Genomic DNA, 14,776 nt, shown 5'->3' with positions numbered 1-14,776 from the left:
TCTGCCTCTCACAGCCCTTCCCAGCTGCACACGTCGTGAGCGTCAGTGTGCAATCACAGGCCTGCCTCCTTTGGGCCACTTTGTGACCATGTTTTTTGCTTGTGGGGCAGGGTAATTTCAGGATCTAAATTGGTGCAGTTGGATGTTCTCAGCCCCGAGAGGCAGCTCTTCCCGTTCTAGGCTTTTTGTTTTGTTTTGTAGAAATGGAGTCCTACGACGTTGCCCAGGCTGGTCTCAAACTCCTGGGCTCAAGTGATCCTCCCACCTTGGCCTCCCAATGTGCTGGGATTACAGGCATGAGCCACTGTGCCGTGCTGATTTTCTTGATACTATTTTTTGTAGAGCTGGGGTCTTGCTGTGTTGCCCAGGCTGGTCTCGAACTCCTGGCCACAAGCCACCCTCCTGCCTCAGCCTCCCAGAGTGCTGGGATTACATCCCCTTCTTACCTTCTCTGTCAGAGGAGCCCCCACAGCATGTGAGTACTGAGTCATGCGGTCTTGTGGTTGCTGAACGGGCTCTGCTGCTCTGGTCCTAGGCTCTGTATGTGGATGTGATCCGTGTGAACAGCTACTACTCTTGGTATCGCAACTACGGGCACCTGGAGTTGATTCAGCTGCAGCTGGCCGCCCAGTTTGAGAATTGGTGTAAGACATCACAATCCCATTATTCAGAGCGCGTATGGAGTGGAAACGCTTGTAGGGCTTCACCAGGTAAGCGGTGTTGAACTTTCTGCTTGTGTATTCTCTCTGGGCAGAGATGCCACTTGCCTCCCCCACCATGCCATCTCTGAAGAATATTACAGACCATTTTGGAGCATGGTGAATAAGAAATTTTCACCTTAGGAGTTCAGTTGAATAGTCATTTTTATATTTGTGACTGCAAGTCACTCTTAGGGGCTGTACTTCCTTAGTACTGGTAGCATTATTATCCAATGGACTTTTATAGCTTTCATTAGGTTTTCTTTTGTTTTTGTTCTTTAAAGAACGTTTTACTTATCTTAGTATTTCATTTTTCATCTATATTATGAGGCAGTAAGAGTCTTCTGTTTTTCCAAAGTTGAGACTGCTTTATATTTATTTCGTATTGTCTACAGCTGTAGTGTTCAATACATTAGCCACTAGCCACATGTGGTTATTTAAATAAGATAAAATAAAAATTGGCCGGGCGTGGTGGCTCACGCCGGTAATCCCAGCACTTTGGGAGGCCGAGGCGGGCAGATCATTAGGTCAGGAGATCGAGACCATCCTTACTAAGACGGTGAACCCCCATCTCTATTAAAAATACAAAAAATTAGCCGGGCGTGGTGGCGGGCGCCTGCAGTCCCAGCTACTCAGGAGGCTGAGGCAGGAGAATGGCGTGAACCTGGGAGGCAGAGTTTGCAGTGAGCCGAGATGGCGCCACTGCACTCCAGCCTGGGGGACAGAGCGAGACTCCATCTCAAAAAAAAAAAGAAAATTAAAAATTAAGTTCTTTAGTTGCACTAGCCATATTTCAAATACTTGATGGATACATGTGGCTAGTGGCTAACATAAGGGATAGCACAGATATAAAACATTTCCTCGTCATATAAAGTTCTATTGGATAGTGCTGGTCTGTAGCTTATAGGATGGTATCTTAGTCTGCTTCAGCTGCTAAAACAGAATACCATAAATTAGGTAGCTTAAACAGTAGATATTTTGACCAGGCGTGGTGGCTTATGCCTGTATTCCTAACACTTTGGGAGGCCGAGGCAGGTGGATAACTTGAGCTCAGGAGTTTGAGACTAGCCTGGGCAGCATGGCAAAACCTTGTCTCTACGAAAATTAGCTGGGCGTGGTGGTGCACGCCTGTAGTCTGAGCTACTTGGGAGGCTGAGGTGGGAGAATTGCTTGAACCTGGGAGGCGGAGGTTGCAGTGAGCCATGATCGCACCACTGTACTCCAGCCTGGATGACAGAATGAGACTCTGTCTCAAAAAAAACAAAAACAAACAAACAAAAAAAAACAGATATTTCTCACAGTTCTGCAGACTGGAAGTGCAAGATCAAAGTGTTGGCAAATTATGTTTCTTAAAGAGGGCCTGCTTCCTAGATTGGAAATGGCCATCTTCTCTCGGTATCCTCACATGGCAGGGAGAAAAGCAGCTCTAGTGTCTCTTCTTATAAAGGAAGTAATGCCACCATAGGGGCTCTATTCTCATGACCTCATCTAAACCTAATTCTCTCCTAAAGGCCACGCCTCCCAGTATCCTCACCTTGGGGGTTAGGGCTTTATCATATGAATTTTTTTTTTTTTTTTTTTTTTTGAGACAGAGTCTCGCTCTGTCTGTCACCCAGGCTGGAGTGCAGTGGCACAATCTCGGCTCTCTACAAGCTCCGCCTCCTGGGTTCACGCCATTCTCCTGCGTCAGCCTCCTCAGTAGCTGGGACTAAGGCGCCCGCCACTGCGCCCGGCTAATTTTTTGTATTTTCAGTAGAGACGGGGTTTTACCATGTTAGCCAGGATGATCTCGATCTCCTGACCTCATGATCCACCCGCCTCGGCCTCCGAAAGTGCTGGGATTACAGGCATGAGCCACCGCGCCGGGCCTATCATATGAATTTTGAGGGAACACAAACATGCAGTCTGTAGCAGATGGTAATAGGCTGACATATTACACTTGTTGATGTAAATCTGATAGGTTTCTTTCTCTCCAAGGACAGCTTTTTAAATATTTAACAGTATCAATAATTTTTCAGGTTCTGTGAGAATTTTATAATTTATAATTTGCAGACTTAATGTATAATCTATTTTGTCCTAACAATTACAAATATATTTTTTATTTCAGATTGTATATATTCCTACCAGATGGAGATAATTACAGCTTTAAAAATTTTTATTTTTTCATTTTATTTCACACATTGACATTAAATTTTTATGGACACATAATAACTGTACATATATATGGGGTAGAATGTGATGTTTTAATACATGTACTCAATGTGTAATGATCAAATCAGGGTAATTTGCATAATGATTTTTCTGTAGGGAGAAAATTCAAAATCTACTCTTCTGGCTATTTTCAAATATATAATATGTTATTGTTAACTATACTCATCCTACTATGCAATAGGACACCAGAACTTATTCCTGGGTTCTACATCCGTTAAGGCAACCAAGGATTGGAAATATTGGAAAAAAAAATTGCGTCTGTACTGAACATGTACAGACTTTTTTCTTGTCCTTATTCCTTACACAATATAGTACAATAACTATTTGCATGACATTTACATCGGATATTATGAGTGATCTAGAGTTGATATGAAGTATATGGGAGGATGTGCAAAGGTGATGTGCAAATACTATGTCATTTTATATCAGGGACTTGAGTATCCTTTGTTACCCTCAGGAGATCCTGAAACCAGTCCCCCATGGATACTGAGGGCTGACTGTATAGTCCTATCCTCACGGAACTTTCATTCTAATGGGGGAAGACTGACTATAAACAAAATATATGTAATAGGTGGTGGTAAGTACCGTGGAGAAGTAACAAACGGGGCAAAGTGAGTTATACAGCTCCATTCTTAGAAACCTTGGAGTACTTTTCTTAGTTTATACTCGTGGTGGTTTCCTTTTGTCTCCTTTATTACATGGGACTCTGACATGTGCCCATAGCTAGGGTGACAGTAGGATCTACCCGATAGTAGGGTGGCAGTAGGATCTACCCAAAAAGCGTCCTGCTGATACAGGACCAAAGCATCCTGTTGTTCTCGAGCCTATAAAAAGAGCTAATGGTCTTGCTTCTCTTAACTGTGGCCTCCTACACTGTGTTTTGGATGATTGGTGATGTCTTGGATATTCTGTTTCTTTGGAACTTTGAATATACAACACTTTACTAGGGAATTAGCAATGGAAGCAGAGCAAAGATGTACAGAGGAAACAATGCGTAACTCTGATGGAATTGAAGTCATGAGGCAGCAGAGAGCTTAAATTACAGCTTTAAAAATTTTTATTTTTTAGAGGGAATTTACTTGGGAGTAACAGCAGTAATAGTTAACGGAGCCAGAATGCTTGAGTCATATAATTGCAAAGCAGAGTTGGGAGCAACAGATGCTAAAGAGTAGTTGCTGTAGTTCCTCTTTGGGTCGTAGGAGCAGTTGTCATATTCCTATATAGCTACTGCATGAAGAAGAGTTCTTAGTGAGGCCTGGGTGAACAGCTCTTCTTAGTATTCTGTGTGACCCCATTTGACCTTTTAACAAATCCCTAAGTAAATAAATAGCCCCTCAGGAAAACTAAGTTTTTCTCTGCTGTTTTTTTGCTTGAGAGAGCTATAACTGTAATAGACTTATATTTCTGAACATTTTAGTGCTTGCCAATATTTGGTAATATTTATGTTTCCTATATTTGTAATGAACATTCTTCTTCCGGTACATTTTTTGTTAAATTATTGTTTGATGGATAAAAGTTCACCTTTTATTGTATAAAATTGACTGAGATTAATTTATACACATTGACAATGGGTAAATACAATTTTTCAGATTATTAAAAGCTGAAGGATGCCCACGTAAGCAAAAAAAAAAAAGAAAAAACCAACAAAAATAAACCCAAACCCCTCAAACAATTTCGAACACGAAACATTCTTCTGATGCCGGCATCCCTGCTTGCAGGTGTGAAGGGGGCAGGAATCAGCGAGGTGTCCTGGGCTGAGTCCCCGGAGTGGGAAGAGGTGGCAGGAAGGGGATCTGAGGAGGAGAACAGGGGTCCTGGTGGTCTGTGCTTCTTCCCAGACATGGGAGCTGTAGAGGAGACCTCTGCAGCAGATGCTAGGGGGGCCAGTAGGCCCAGGCAGTCTTGGGACTTGGGTCTGTCCTGCTGTGCATCCATAGTGGGTGCTTTAGAAACGGGAGGCCCACCCGAAGCCCCTGTTGCAAGTGAGGACAAAGTGTGGGAAGGCCGTGAGGGTCTGCAGTCCGAGATGGCCTTGTCCTCAACGTGCAGTGCAGTGTTGATGCGGGGCCTAGAGGCCTGGGATCTGGGGGAGCCACCCCTGGGGGCAAGTGTCTGCCCTGGTGCTGTACCTGCCTTCTTCTCACAGCGGGTGTGACCCGAAGAGACAGCCTGAGGTCCGTCCTCACTCACTGTGTTTGAGGAACTGTGGGCCAGCTGGCAGTAGGATGAGGCTGGCCCCCTCCTCCGCTTTAGTTGCGGGAGGCCTTCCGTAGAGCTGTGGGAGCTGGAGCTGGCATTTCCTTGGAGGCAGGATCTGGTCCGGGAGGTCTGGGATCTCTGGTTATATCTCACTTCTGACCTCTGGACACGTGCTGCAGCTGTGGCTGAGGCCAAGAAATGTGAGGGGCCTCCATCCACTGCATTGAGTAGTGACCCCGACGTGGGGTTCAATGTGGAGGGGGGAGGGGCTGCTGCTGCAGCTGCAGGAGCCGAGGTGCCAGGCCTTGTTCTTCTCATGCCGGCATCGCTGCTTGCAGCTGTGAAGGGCGCGGGAATCAGCGAGGTGACCTGGGCTGAGTCCCGTGAGTGGGAAGAGGTGGCAGGAAGGGGATCTGAGGAGGAGAACAGGGGTCCTGGTGGTCTGTGCTTCTTCCCAGACACGGGAGCTGTAGAGGGGACTTCTGCAGCAGATGCTAGGGGGGCCAGTAGGCCCAGGCAGTCTTGGGACTTGGGTCTGTGCTGCTGTGCATCCATAGTGGGTGCTTTAGAAACGGGAGGCCCACCCGAAGCCCCTGTTGCAAGTGAGGACAAAGTGTGGGAAGGCCGTGAGGGTCTGCAGTCCGAGATGGCCTTGTCCTCAACGTGCAGTGCACTGTTGATGCGGGGCCTAGAGGCCTGGGATCTGGGGGAGCCACCCCTGGGGGCGAGTGTCTGCCCTGGTGCTGTACCTGCCTTGTTTTCACAGCGGTGACCCGAAGAGACAGCCTGAGGTCCGTCCTCACTCACTGTGTTTGAGGAACTGTGGGCCAGCTGGCAGTGGGATGAGGCTGGCCCCCTCCTCCGCTTTACTTCCTGGAGGCCTTCCGTAGAGCTGTGGGAGCTGGAGCTGGCATTTCGTTTGAGGCAGGATCTGGTCCGGGAGGTCTGGGATCTCTGGTTATATCTCACTTCTGACCTCTGGGCACGTGCTGCAGCTGTGGCTGAGGCCAAGAAATGTGAGGGGCCTCCATCCACTGCATTGAGTAGCGACCCCGACGTGGGGTTCAATGTGGAGGGGGGAAGGGCTGCTGCGGCAGCTGCAGGAGCCGAGGTGCCAGGCCTTGTTCTTCTCATGCCGGCATCCCTGCTTGCAGCTGTGAAGGTGGCAGGAATCAGCGAGGTGACCTGGGCTGAGTCCCGGGAGTGGGAAGAGGTGGCAGGAAGGGGATCTGAGGAGGAGAACAGGGGTCCTGGTGGTCTGTGCTTCTTCCCAGACACGGGAGCTGTAGAGGGGACCTCTTCAGCAGATGCTAGGGGGGCCACTAGGCCCAGGCAGTCTTGGGACTTGGGTCTGTCCTGCTGTGCGTCCATAGTGGGTGCTTTAGAAACGGGAGGCCCACCCGAAGCCCCTGTTGCAAGTGAGGACAAAGTGTGGGAAGGCCGTGAGGGTCTGCAGTCCGAGATGGCCTTGTCCTCAACGTGCAGTGCACTGTTGATGTGGGGCCTAGAGGCCTGGGATCTGGGGGAGCCTCCCCTGGGGGCGAGTGTCTGCCCTGGTGCTGTACCTGCCTTGTTTTCACAGCGGTGACCCGAAGAGACAGCCTGAGGTCCGTCCTCACTCACTGTGTTTGGGGAACTGTGGGCCAGCTGGCAGTGGGATGAGGCTGGCCCCCTCCTCCGCTTTAGTTCCTGGAGGCCTTCCGTAGAGCTGTGGGAGCTGGAGCTGGAGCTGGCATTTCGTTTGAGGCAGGATCTGGTCCGGGAGGTCTGGGATCTCTGGTTATATCTCACTTCTGACCTCTGGGCACGTGCTGCAGCTGTGGCTGAGGCCAAGAAATGTGAGGGGCCTCCATCCACTGCATTGAGTAGTGACCCCGACGTGTTGTTCAATGTGGAGGGGGGAGGGGCTGCTGCGGCAGCTGCAGGAGCCGACCTTGTTCTTCTCATGCCGGCATCCCTGCTTGCAGCTGTGAAGGTGGCAGGAATCAGCGAGGTGACCTGGGCTGAGTCCCGGGAGTGGGAAGAGGTGGCAGGAAGGGGATCTGAGGAGGAGAACAGGGGTCCTGGTGGTCTGTGCTTCTTCCCAGACACGGGAGCTGTAGAGGGGACCTCTGCAGCAGATGCTAGGGGGGCCACTAGGCCCAGGCAGTCTTGGGACTTGGGTCTGTCCTGCTGTGCGTCCATAGTGGGTGCTTTAGAAACGGGAGGCCCACCCGAAGCCTCTGTTGCAAGTGAGGACAAAGTGTGGGAAGGTCGTGAGGGTCTGCAGTCCGAGATGGCCTTGTCCTCAACGTGCAGTGCAGTGTTGATGTGGGGCCTAGAGGCCTGGGATCTGGGGGAGCCACCCCTGGGGGCAAGTGTCTGCCCTGGTGCTGTACCTGCCTTGTTTTCACAGCGGTGACCCGAAGAGACAGCCTGAGGTCCATCCTCACTCACTGTGTTTGAGGAACTGTGGGCCAGCTGGCAGTGGGATGAGGCTGGCCCCCTCCTCCGCTTTACTTCCTGGAGGCCTTCCGTAGAGCTGTGGGAGCTGGAGCTGGCATTTCGTTTGAGGCACGATCTGGTCCGGGAGGTCTGGGATCTCTGGTTATATCTCACTTCTGACCTCTGGACACGTGCTGCAGCTGTGGCTGAGGCCAAGAAATGTGAGGGGCCTCCATCCACTGCATTGAGTAGTGACCCCGACGTGGGGTTCAATGTGGAGGGGGGAGGGGCTGCTGCGGCAGCTGCAGGAGCCGACCTTGTTCTTCTCATGCCGGCATCCCTGCTTGCAGCTGTCAAGGGGACAGGAATCATCGAGGTGACCTGGGCTGAGTCCCGGGAGTGGGAAGAGTTGGCCGGAAGGGGATCTGAGGAGGAGAACAGGGGTCCTGGTGGTCTGTGCTTCTTCCCAGACACGGGAGCTGTAGCGGGGACCTCTGCTGCAGATGCTAGGGGGGCCACTAGGCCCAGGCAGTCTTGGGACTTGGGTCTGTCCTGCTGTGCATCCATAGTGGGTGCTTTAGAAACGGGAGGCCCACCCGAAGCCCCTGTTGCAAGTGAGGACAAAGTGTGGGAAGGCCGTGAGGGTCTGCAGTCCGAGATGGCCTTGTCCTCAACGTGCAGTGCACTGTTGATGCGCTGGAATGCCTTCTCTTTTTCCAGGTGCAGGTCTTCAGCCGTGACCCGGTACCCCAGCTCTAAGGGAGGTGGCAGCATCAAAGGCTCCCCTCGCCTGCGTGGCAGCAGGGGAATCTTGCGTCTACGGGGCCTAGAGTCCTGGGATCTGGGGGAGCCACCCGTTGGGGCGATTGTCTGCCCTGGTGCTGTATCTGCCCCCTTTTCACACCGTGTGTGACCCGAAGAGACAGCCTGAGGCCTGTCCTCACTCACTGTCTTTGAGTAACTGAGGGTCAGCTGGCAGCGGGATGAGGCTGGCCCCCTCCTCTGCTTTAGCCCCGGCAAGCCTCCCGTGGAGCTGTAGGAGCTGGAGATGGCATTTCGTTTGGTGCTCGAGCTCGTCCAGGATGTCTGGGATGTGTGGTTATATCTGATTTCTGAGCTCTGGGCGTGGAGGTCTGTCTGCAGAGGCCCGGGCCTGGGCACAAAGGGAGAGGGGCCTCCATTGTCCCGCAGGGGCCAAAATGCAGACCGTGCATCCCCGGTGACCTCGGGGACCGTTCTCTGATCATCAGGATTTTCTTGGACTCTGGGGTCCTTGTGCTGCTCAGGCATCCCTGCCCCGCTCTCCTTGAGGGCCCTCAACACTATCTTCCCTGGACACAAGTCTGGGGACAGCCGGGTGTTGTGGACCCCAAAGGGGTGACTACCTGCTCCTGGGCCCCACAGAGTCCTTGTGCTCAGTGTAGTGGCTGAGCTGGGGGATGCCCTGGAACTCAGAGCACACAGCACTGGCTTACTGTGGTACCTGTGCAGTGAAGTTGAAGACAGAATCACCAGGATGGAACACAGGTCTTGCAGGATCACGGAAAACCTTCTTAGAGTTGTCTTGACACCACTGATGTCGAGTGTGCGGGTGTTTGTAGGATGGCCTGCCACTCAGTCCAGGGGCAGGAGCAACGGGGAGATCCCACAAGCAAAGTGAACTGGGGGATGGGCTGAAGGGGCTCCAGGCAACTGAGCCCTACTCGCAGGTCCTCGGCCTTGGCCCAAACAGGAATGAGGGGCACAGAGTGCCCGGGTAACCGCTCCTGGGAGCAGTGGGGAACTGTCGGATACTTGAACTCTCAAGAGCTGGGCTCTGAGCGTCCTCGTCCAGCTGCCAACTTGGCCAAAGGCTAAGCCAGCAGATTGTTCTGTTGCCGGGCAACGCGACTTCTAAACCTGAGGGAGTGGGCATGTGAGCACATAATGGCACCAGTGACAGAGCGACCATAATGGATGAATAAGCGCAGCCAGGTACCCGCGCAAGGCACCTGCTGGCAATGGCAGGAGGCGGACGTGGGGGGTCGTGCAGTAGGTACTGGAGGGAGAGACGTGGGCACAAAGGTCGCGGGAGGAACAGGTGCCCACAATGGCTGCATATTTGCCCGTGGATCACTGAAGATTCCTGCTCTCCTGCTGAGGTGGAGACTGCAGTGAGCTGAGATCGCACCATTGCACTCCAGCCTGGGCAACGAGTGCAAAACTCAGTCTCCAGATAAAAAAAAGAAAAAGAAAAAAAAGAGGCCGGGTGTGGTGGCTTATGCCTATGATCCTAGCACTTTGGGAGGTCGGGGTGGACGGATCACGAGATCAGGAGTTGGAGGCCAGCCTGGCCAACATAGTGAAAGCCCGTCTCTAGTAAAAATACAAAATTTAGTCAGACATGGTGGGCAGGAGAGAGCATGTGCAGGGGAACATCCATTTATAAAACCATCAGACCTCATGAGACTTATTCACTACCATGAGAACAGCATGGGGGAAACTGCCTCCATGATTCAGTTATCTCCACCTGGCCCCACCCTTGACACATGGGAATTGTTACAATTCAAGATGAGATTTGGGTGCGGACAGAGCCAAACCATATAATTCTTCCCCGGCCCCTCCCAAATCTCATGTCCTCATATTTCAAAAGCAATCGTGCCTTCCCCTAAGTCCCCCAAACTCTTATTTCAGCATTAACTCAAAATTCCATAGTCCAAAGTCTCATCTGAGACAAGGCAAGTCCCTTCCACCTATGAGCCTGTAAAATCAAAAGCAAGTTAGTTATTTTCTAGATACACAGGGATACAGGCATTGGGTAGATACACTCGTTTCAAATGGGAGAAATTGGCCAAAGCGAAAGAGCTACAGGCCCCATGCAAGTCCAAAACCCAGCAGGCAAATCTTAAAGCTCCAAAATGACCTCCTTTGACTCCATGTGTCACATCTAGGTGATGCAAGAAGTGGGTTCCCAGGGTCTTGGGCAGCCCCGCCCCTGTGGCTTTGCAGGGTACAGCCCCCCTTCTGGCTGCATTGAGTGTCTGCAGCTTTTCTAGGCACACAGTGCAAGCTGTCAGTGGATCTACCATTCTGGGGTCTGGAGGATGGTGGCCCTTTTCTCACAGCTCTGCTTGGCAGTACCCCAGTGGGGACTCTGTGTGGAAGCTCCAACCCCATATTTCCCTTTGACACTGCCCTAGCAGAGGTTATCCATGAGGGCCCCCCCCTCCCCTCCCCCCCACAGCAAACTTTTGCCTGGATTTCCAGGCATTTTCATACATCTTCTGAAATGTAGGCGGAGGTTCATGAACGTTAATTCTTGACTTCGGTGCATCTGCAGGCTTAACACCACCTAGAACCTGAAAGGCTTGGAACTTGCACCCTCTGAAGCCATGGCCTGAGGTGTACCTTGTCCCCTTTTACCTATGGCAGGAGCAGCTGGGATGCAGGGCCCCAAGTTCCTAGGCTGCACACAGCAGGGGGTTCTGGACCCACAAAACCATTTTTCCTTCTAAGCCTCCTGGCCTGCGATGGGAGGGTCTGCTGTGAGGGTCTCTAACATGCCCTGGAGACATTTGCCCCATTGTCTTGGTGATTAACATTTGGCTCCTCATTACTTATGCAAATTTCTACAACCCAGTCTCCTGAGAAAATAGATTTTTCTTTTCTGTTGCATCATCAGGCTACAAATTTTCTGAAATTTTATGCTCTGCTTCTTCTCGAATGCTTTGCTGCTTAGAAATTTCTTCTGTCAGATACCTTAAATCATCTCTCTCAAGTTCAAAGTTCCACAGATCTCTAGGCCCAGAAAAAAAAAATTAGCCTGGCATGGTGGCATGTGCCTGTAGTCCCAGCTACTCAGGAGTCTGAGGTGGGAGGATTGCTTGAGCCTGGGAAGTCCAGGCTGCAGTGAGTCAAGACTGCACCACTGCACTGCAGCGTAGGCAACAGAGCGAGTCTGTCTCATAAACAAATAAAAAATAAAATAAAAGACCCCACTGTGTTGTTGCCTATAACAATTCACTTTAAGGCTGGGTGCAGTGGCTCATGCCTGTAATCTCAACACTTAGGGTGGCAGAGGTGGGAGGACAGCTTGAGCCCAGGAGTTTGAGATCTGCCTGGGCAACATAGTGAGACCCCGTTACCCACAAAAAGGAAAAGGAAAAAACAAGAATTGACTTTAAATATAGTCACAGATAGATTAAAAAGAAAATAATCTAAAAGATGTAACATGAAAAAACTAATAAAGGCCTAAAAAATACTATCAAGGATAAAGAGGGATATTTCTGTTTTTTAGAGACAAAGTTTTACTCTGTCACCCAGGCCACAGTACAGTGGCACAATCATAGCTCATTGCAACCTATACTCCTGAGCTCAAGCGATTCTCCTGCCTCTGCCTCCCAGGTAGCTGGGACTACAGATGCATGCTACCACACCCTGTTTGTTTTAAAAATTTTTTGTAGAAATGGAGTCTAGCTATGTTGCAAAGGCTAGTCTCAAACTCCTCGCCTTGTGCACTCCTCCCACCTCAGCCTCCCAAAGTGCTGGGATTATAGGTGTGAACCACCATGCCTGCTTGGGATATTTAATATATTCTCTGGAATATGAAAGACCAAAGGGCAAAAAAATAGCTAAGACACACTCTTGAAGAGAAAGAACAAGACTATTCTGCAGGAAAATATGAAAATAAGCTCAACTGCCGGGCGCGGTGGCTCACACCTGTAATCCCAGCACTTTGGGAGGCTGAGGTGGGTGGATCACCTGAGGTTGGGAGTCCGAGACCAGCCTGACCAACATGGAGAAACCCCATCTCTACTAAAAATACAAAATTAGCTGGGCGTGGTGGCACATGCCTGTAATCCCAGCTACTCGGGAGGCTGAGGCAGGAGAATCACTTGAACCTGGGAGGCGGAGGTTGTGGTGAGCCGAGATCGTGCCATTGCACTCCAGCCTGGGCAACAAGAGTGAAACTCCGTCTCAAAAAAAAAAAAAAGAAAGAAAAAAAGAAGAAGAAAATAAGCTTAACATTATTAGTAATTACACTGACAAAAATTAAAATTTGGGCAATACCAAGTTAGTGAGGAAGCAAATCAATAGCAACGCATCTAGGCCAATGGGAATGTAAATCAGTGCAACCACTTGGGAAAAAGCTTTGCATTATCTAGTGGAGTTGAACACCCGCAAAGTTCTATGACTCTGCAATTCTTTACTTTGTTATGTATCCTAGAGAAACACACATGAGCACTGGAAAATATGTACAAGAATGTTCATAGGGCATTATTTGAATTTGCAACACTCTGAAAACGACCCACGAGGTTAATCAACAGTAAAATAAGTTATTATATATTCATAAAATAATACACTATTTACCAATGAAAACAAGTGAACTACAACTGTGTAGTACATATAAATATGGATGAATCTCAAAAACATCGTGGAGTAAAACCAGCCAATTACAAGAAGAATCATGCAGTATGCTTCTTATTTGAACTTCAAGAATAGACAAAGCTAAATATGTTTAAGGATGTATATGTAGTTCGTAAAACCACAAAGAGAAGCAAGGGAATAATTAACCCAAACTGAGCATCACATTTACCTCTGGATTGGAGGGACAGGGATATAATCAGAATTAGGGGGTGGTTGGCATGCAGAGTTGTTTTTTTTTTTATTTTTTTTTTTTGAGACAGAGTCACGCTCTGTCGCCCAGGAGTGCAATGGCGCCATCTTGGCTCACTGCAACTTCCGCCTCCCAGGTTCAAGCCATTCTCCTGCCTCAGCCTCCCTAATAGCTGGGACTACAGGTGTGTGTCACCAGGCCCGGTTAAATTTTTCTGCTTTTTAACAGAGATGGGGTTTCACCATGTTGCCCAGGCTGGTCTCGAACTCTTGAGCTCAGACAATCTGCCCACATCGGCCTCCCAAAGTGCTGAGATTACAGGCGTGAGTCACTGCACCCGGCCGCAGGGGTCTTTTAAGGCATTGATAATGTCCAATTTCTTGACTTTACTAGGAGGTTCATAGGTTGCTTTTTATTCATTCTTTAAAGCATACATAAAAATTTTAGGTAATCATTTGGAGACATACTGGTTTGCAGTTTTTTTAAGAGGCAAAGGAAGAGTAAAAATCCAAAAAGGAGTTGGCTGGGAGCAGTGGCTCATGCCTGTAATCCAAGTACTTTGGGAGGCTGAAGCAGAAGGATCATTTGGAGCCAGGAGTTTGAGACCAGCCTGGGCAACAAAGCAAGACCCCATCTCTACAAAAAAAAACTTTAAAAAATTAGTCGGGCATGGTGACACATGCTTGTAGTCCTAGCTACTTGGGAGGCTGAGGTGGGAGGATCACTTGAGCCCAGGAATTTGAGGCTACAGTCAGCTAGGATTGTACCACTGCACTTGCTCCAGCCTGGGTGACAGAGCCGAGACCCAGTCTCTTAACAAAAAAACACTAAAGGCCAGGTGTGGCGGCTCACACCTGTAATCCCAGCACTTTGGGAGGCTGAGGCAGGAGGATCACTTGAGGTCAGGAGTTCAAGACCAGCCTGGCCAACATGGTGAAACCCCGTCTCTACTAAAAGTACAAAAAATTAGCCAGGCATGGTGGGGAGGTACCTGTAATCCCAGCTACTTGGGAGGCTGAGGCAGGAGAATCGCTTGAACCCGGGAGGCGGAGGTTGCAGTGAGCCGAGATCACGCCACTGCACTCCAGCCTGGGTGACAGAGTGAGACTCCATCTCAAAAACAACAACAACAAAACACTAAAACTAATAATAATAATAATAGTATAAAAGGGAGTTGATCGATTCCAGAGTAAGTTCTAAATAAGACTAGACTGCATCCTAGCTTATCCTTCCAAGAATTAAGTAGAATGTCCCCATTGTTCTCAATAATTTATTATACACTAAGCCCAAATAAGAAAGAAAAATGAGGTAACTACTGCTATCAAAATACCTTCAAGGCAATAAAATTAGATAGAAGTATTCATTTTGTTTTATTTTTGTTTTTACCACTATACAAATGAGCAGGAAGCATTCATTTTAAAATCTGTATGTGTTCATATTCATTTCTAAAAAAAAAAACTCTTACTAATTACATAGTGAAAACACAAATTTCTTCTTGCAATTAAACATTTCTAAAGAGTTTGATGGGTAAAAAAAATTAAGTTTAAAGATTCATAGAAAAGAAATATTTCTTCGTAAAATTTTAGAACAGATATTTTTCTGAAAGCTTCCAGCACAGGAAAAAAAAAAATTTTGTTTGCAGTAAAAG

The 14,776-nt window shown here is 49.0% G+C and overlaps 2 pseudogenes across 1 annotated transcript in view, besides 3 other annotated features; one reads left to right on the top strand and one right to left on the bottom strand.

The window, feature by feature from the left end:
• The window catches only part of GUSBP3 (GUSB pseudogene 3), a 71,065-nt pseudogene extending 69,626 nt beyond the window's left edge, over positions 1–1,439 (top strand). The window contains exon 6 of the transcript NR_027386.2: positions 536–1,439. The product of NR_027386.2 is annotated as a GUSB pseudogene 3 (transcript). The remainder of the gene's footprint in view (positions 1–535) is intronic.
• On the bottom strand, positions 3,949–9,146 carry LOC728488 (POM121 membrane glycoprotein (rat) pseudogene; annotated as a pseudogene).
• Positions 5,835–6,500: an enhancer, noted in NCBI's record as "H3K27ac-H3K4me1 hESC enhancer chr5:68930229-68930894 (GRCh37/hg19 assembly coordinates)". NCBI's record gives its function as "activates a minimal SCP1, AML or CMV promoter by ChIP-STARR-seq in primed H9 embryonic stem cells {active_cell/tissue: H9 hESC(primed)}" and the evidence as "EXISTENCE:reporter gene assay evidence [ECO:0000049][PMID:30033119]".
• Positions 6,501–7,167: an enhancer, noted in NCBI's record as "H3K27ac-H3K4me1 hESC enhancer chr5:68929562-68930228 (GRCh37/hg19 assembly coordinates)". NCBI's record gives its function as "activates a minimal SCP1, AML or CMV promoter by ChIP-STARR-seq in primed H9 embryonic stem cells {active_cell/tissue: H9 hESC(primed)}" and the evidence as "EXISTENCE:reporter gene assay evidence [ECO:0000049][PMID:30033119]".
• Positions 7,168–7,833: an enhancer, noted in NCBI's record as "H3K27ac-H3K4me1 hESC enhancer chr5:68928896-68929561 (GRCh37/hg19 assembly coordinates)". NCBI's record gives its function as "activates a minimal SCP1, AML or CMV promoter by ChIP-STARR-seq in primed H9 embryonic stem cells {active_cell/tissue: H9 hESC(primed)}" and the evidence as "EXISTENCE:reporter gene assay evidence [ECO:0000049][PMID:30033119]".

The sequence above is a fragment of the Homo sapiens genome, chromosome 5, assembly GCF_000001405.40.
Source record: "Homo sapiens chromosome 5, GRCh38.p14 Primary Assembly".
Taxonomy (NCBI): Eukaryota; Metazoa; Chordata; class Mammalia; order Primates; family Hominidae; genus Homo; species Homo sapiens.
Note: the sequence above shows the minus strand (reverse complement) of the source record. Positions and strands in the feature narration are given on the sequence as shown.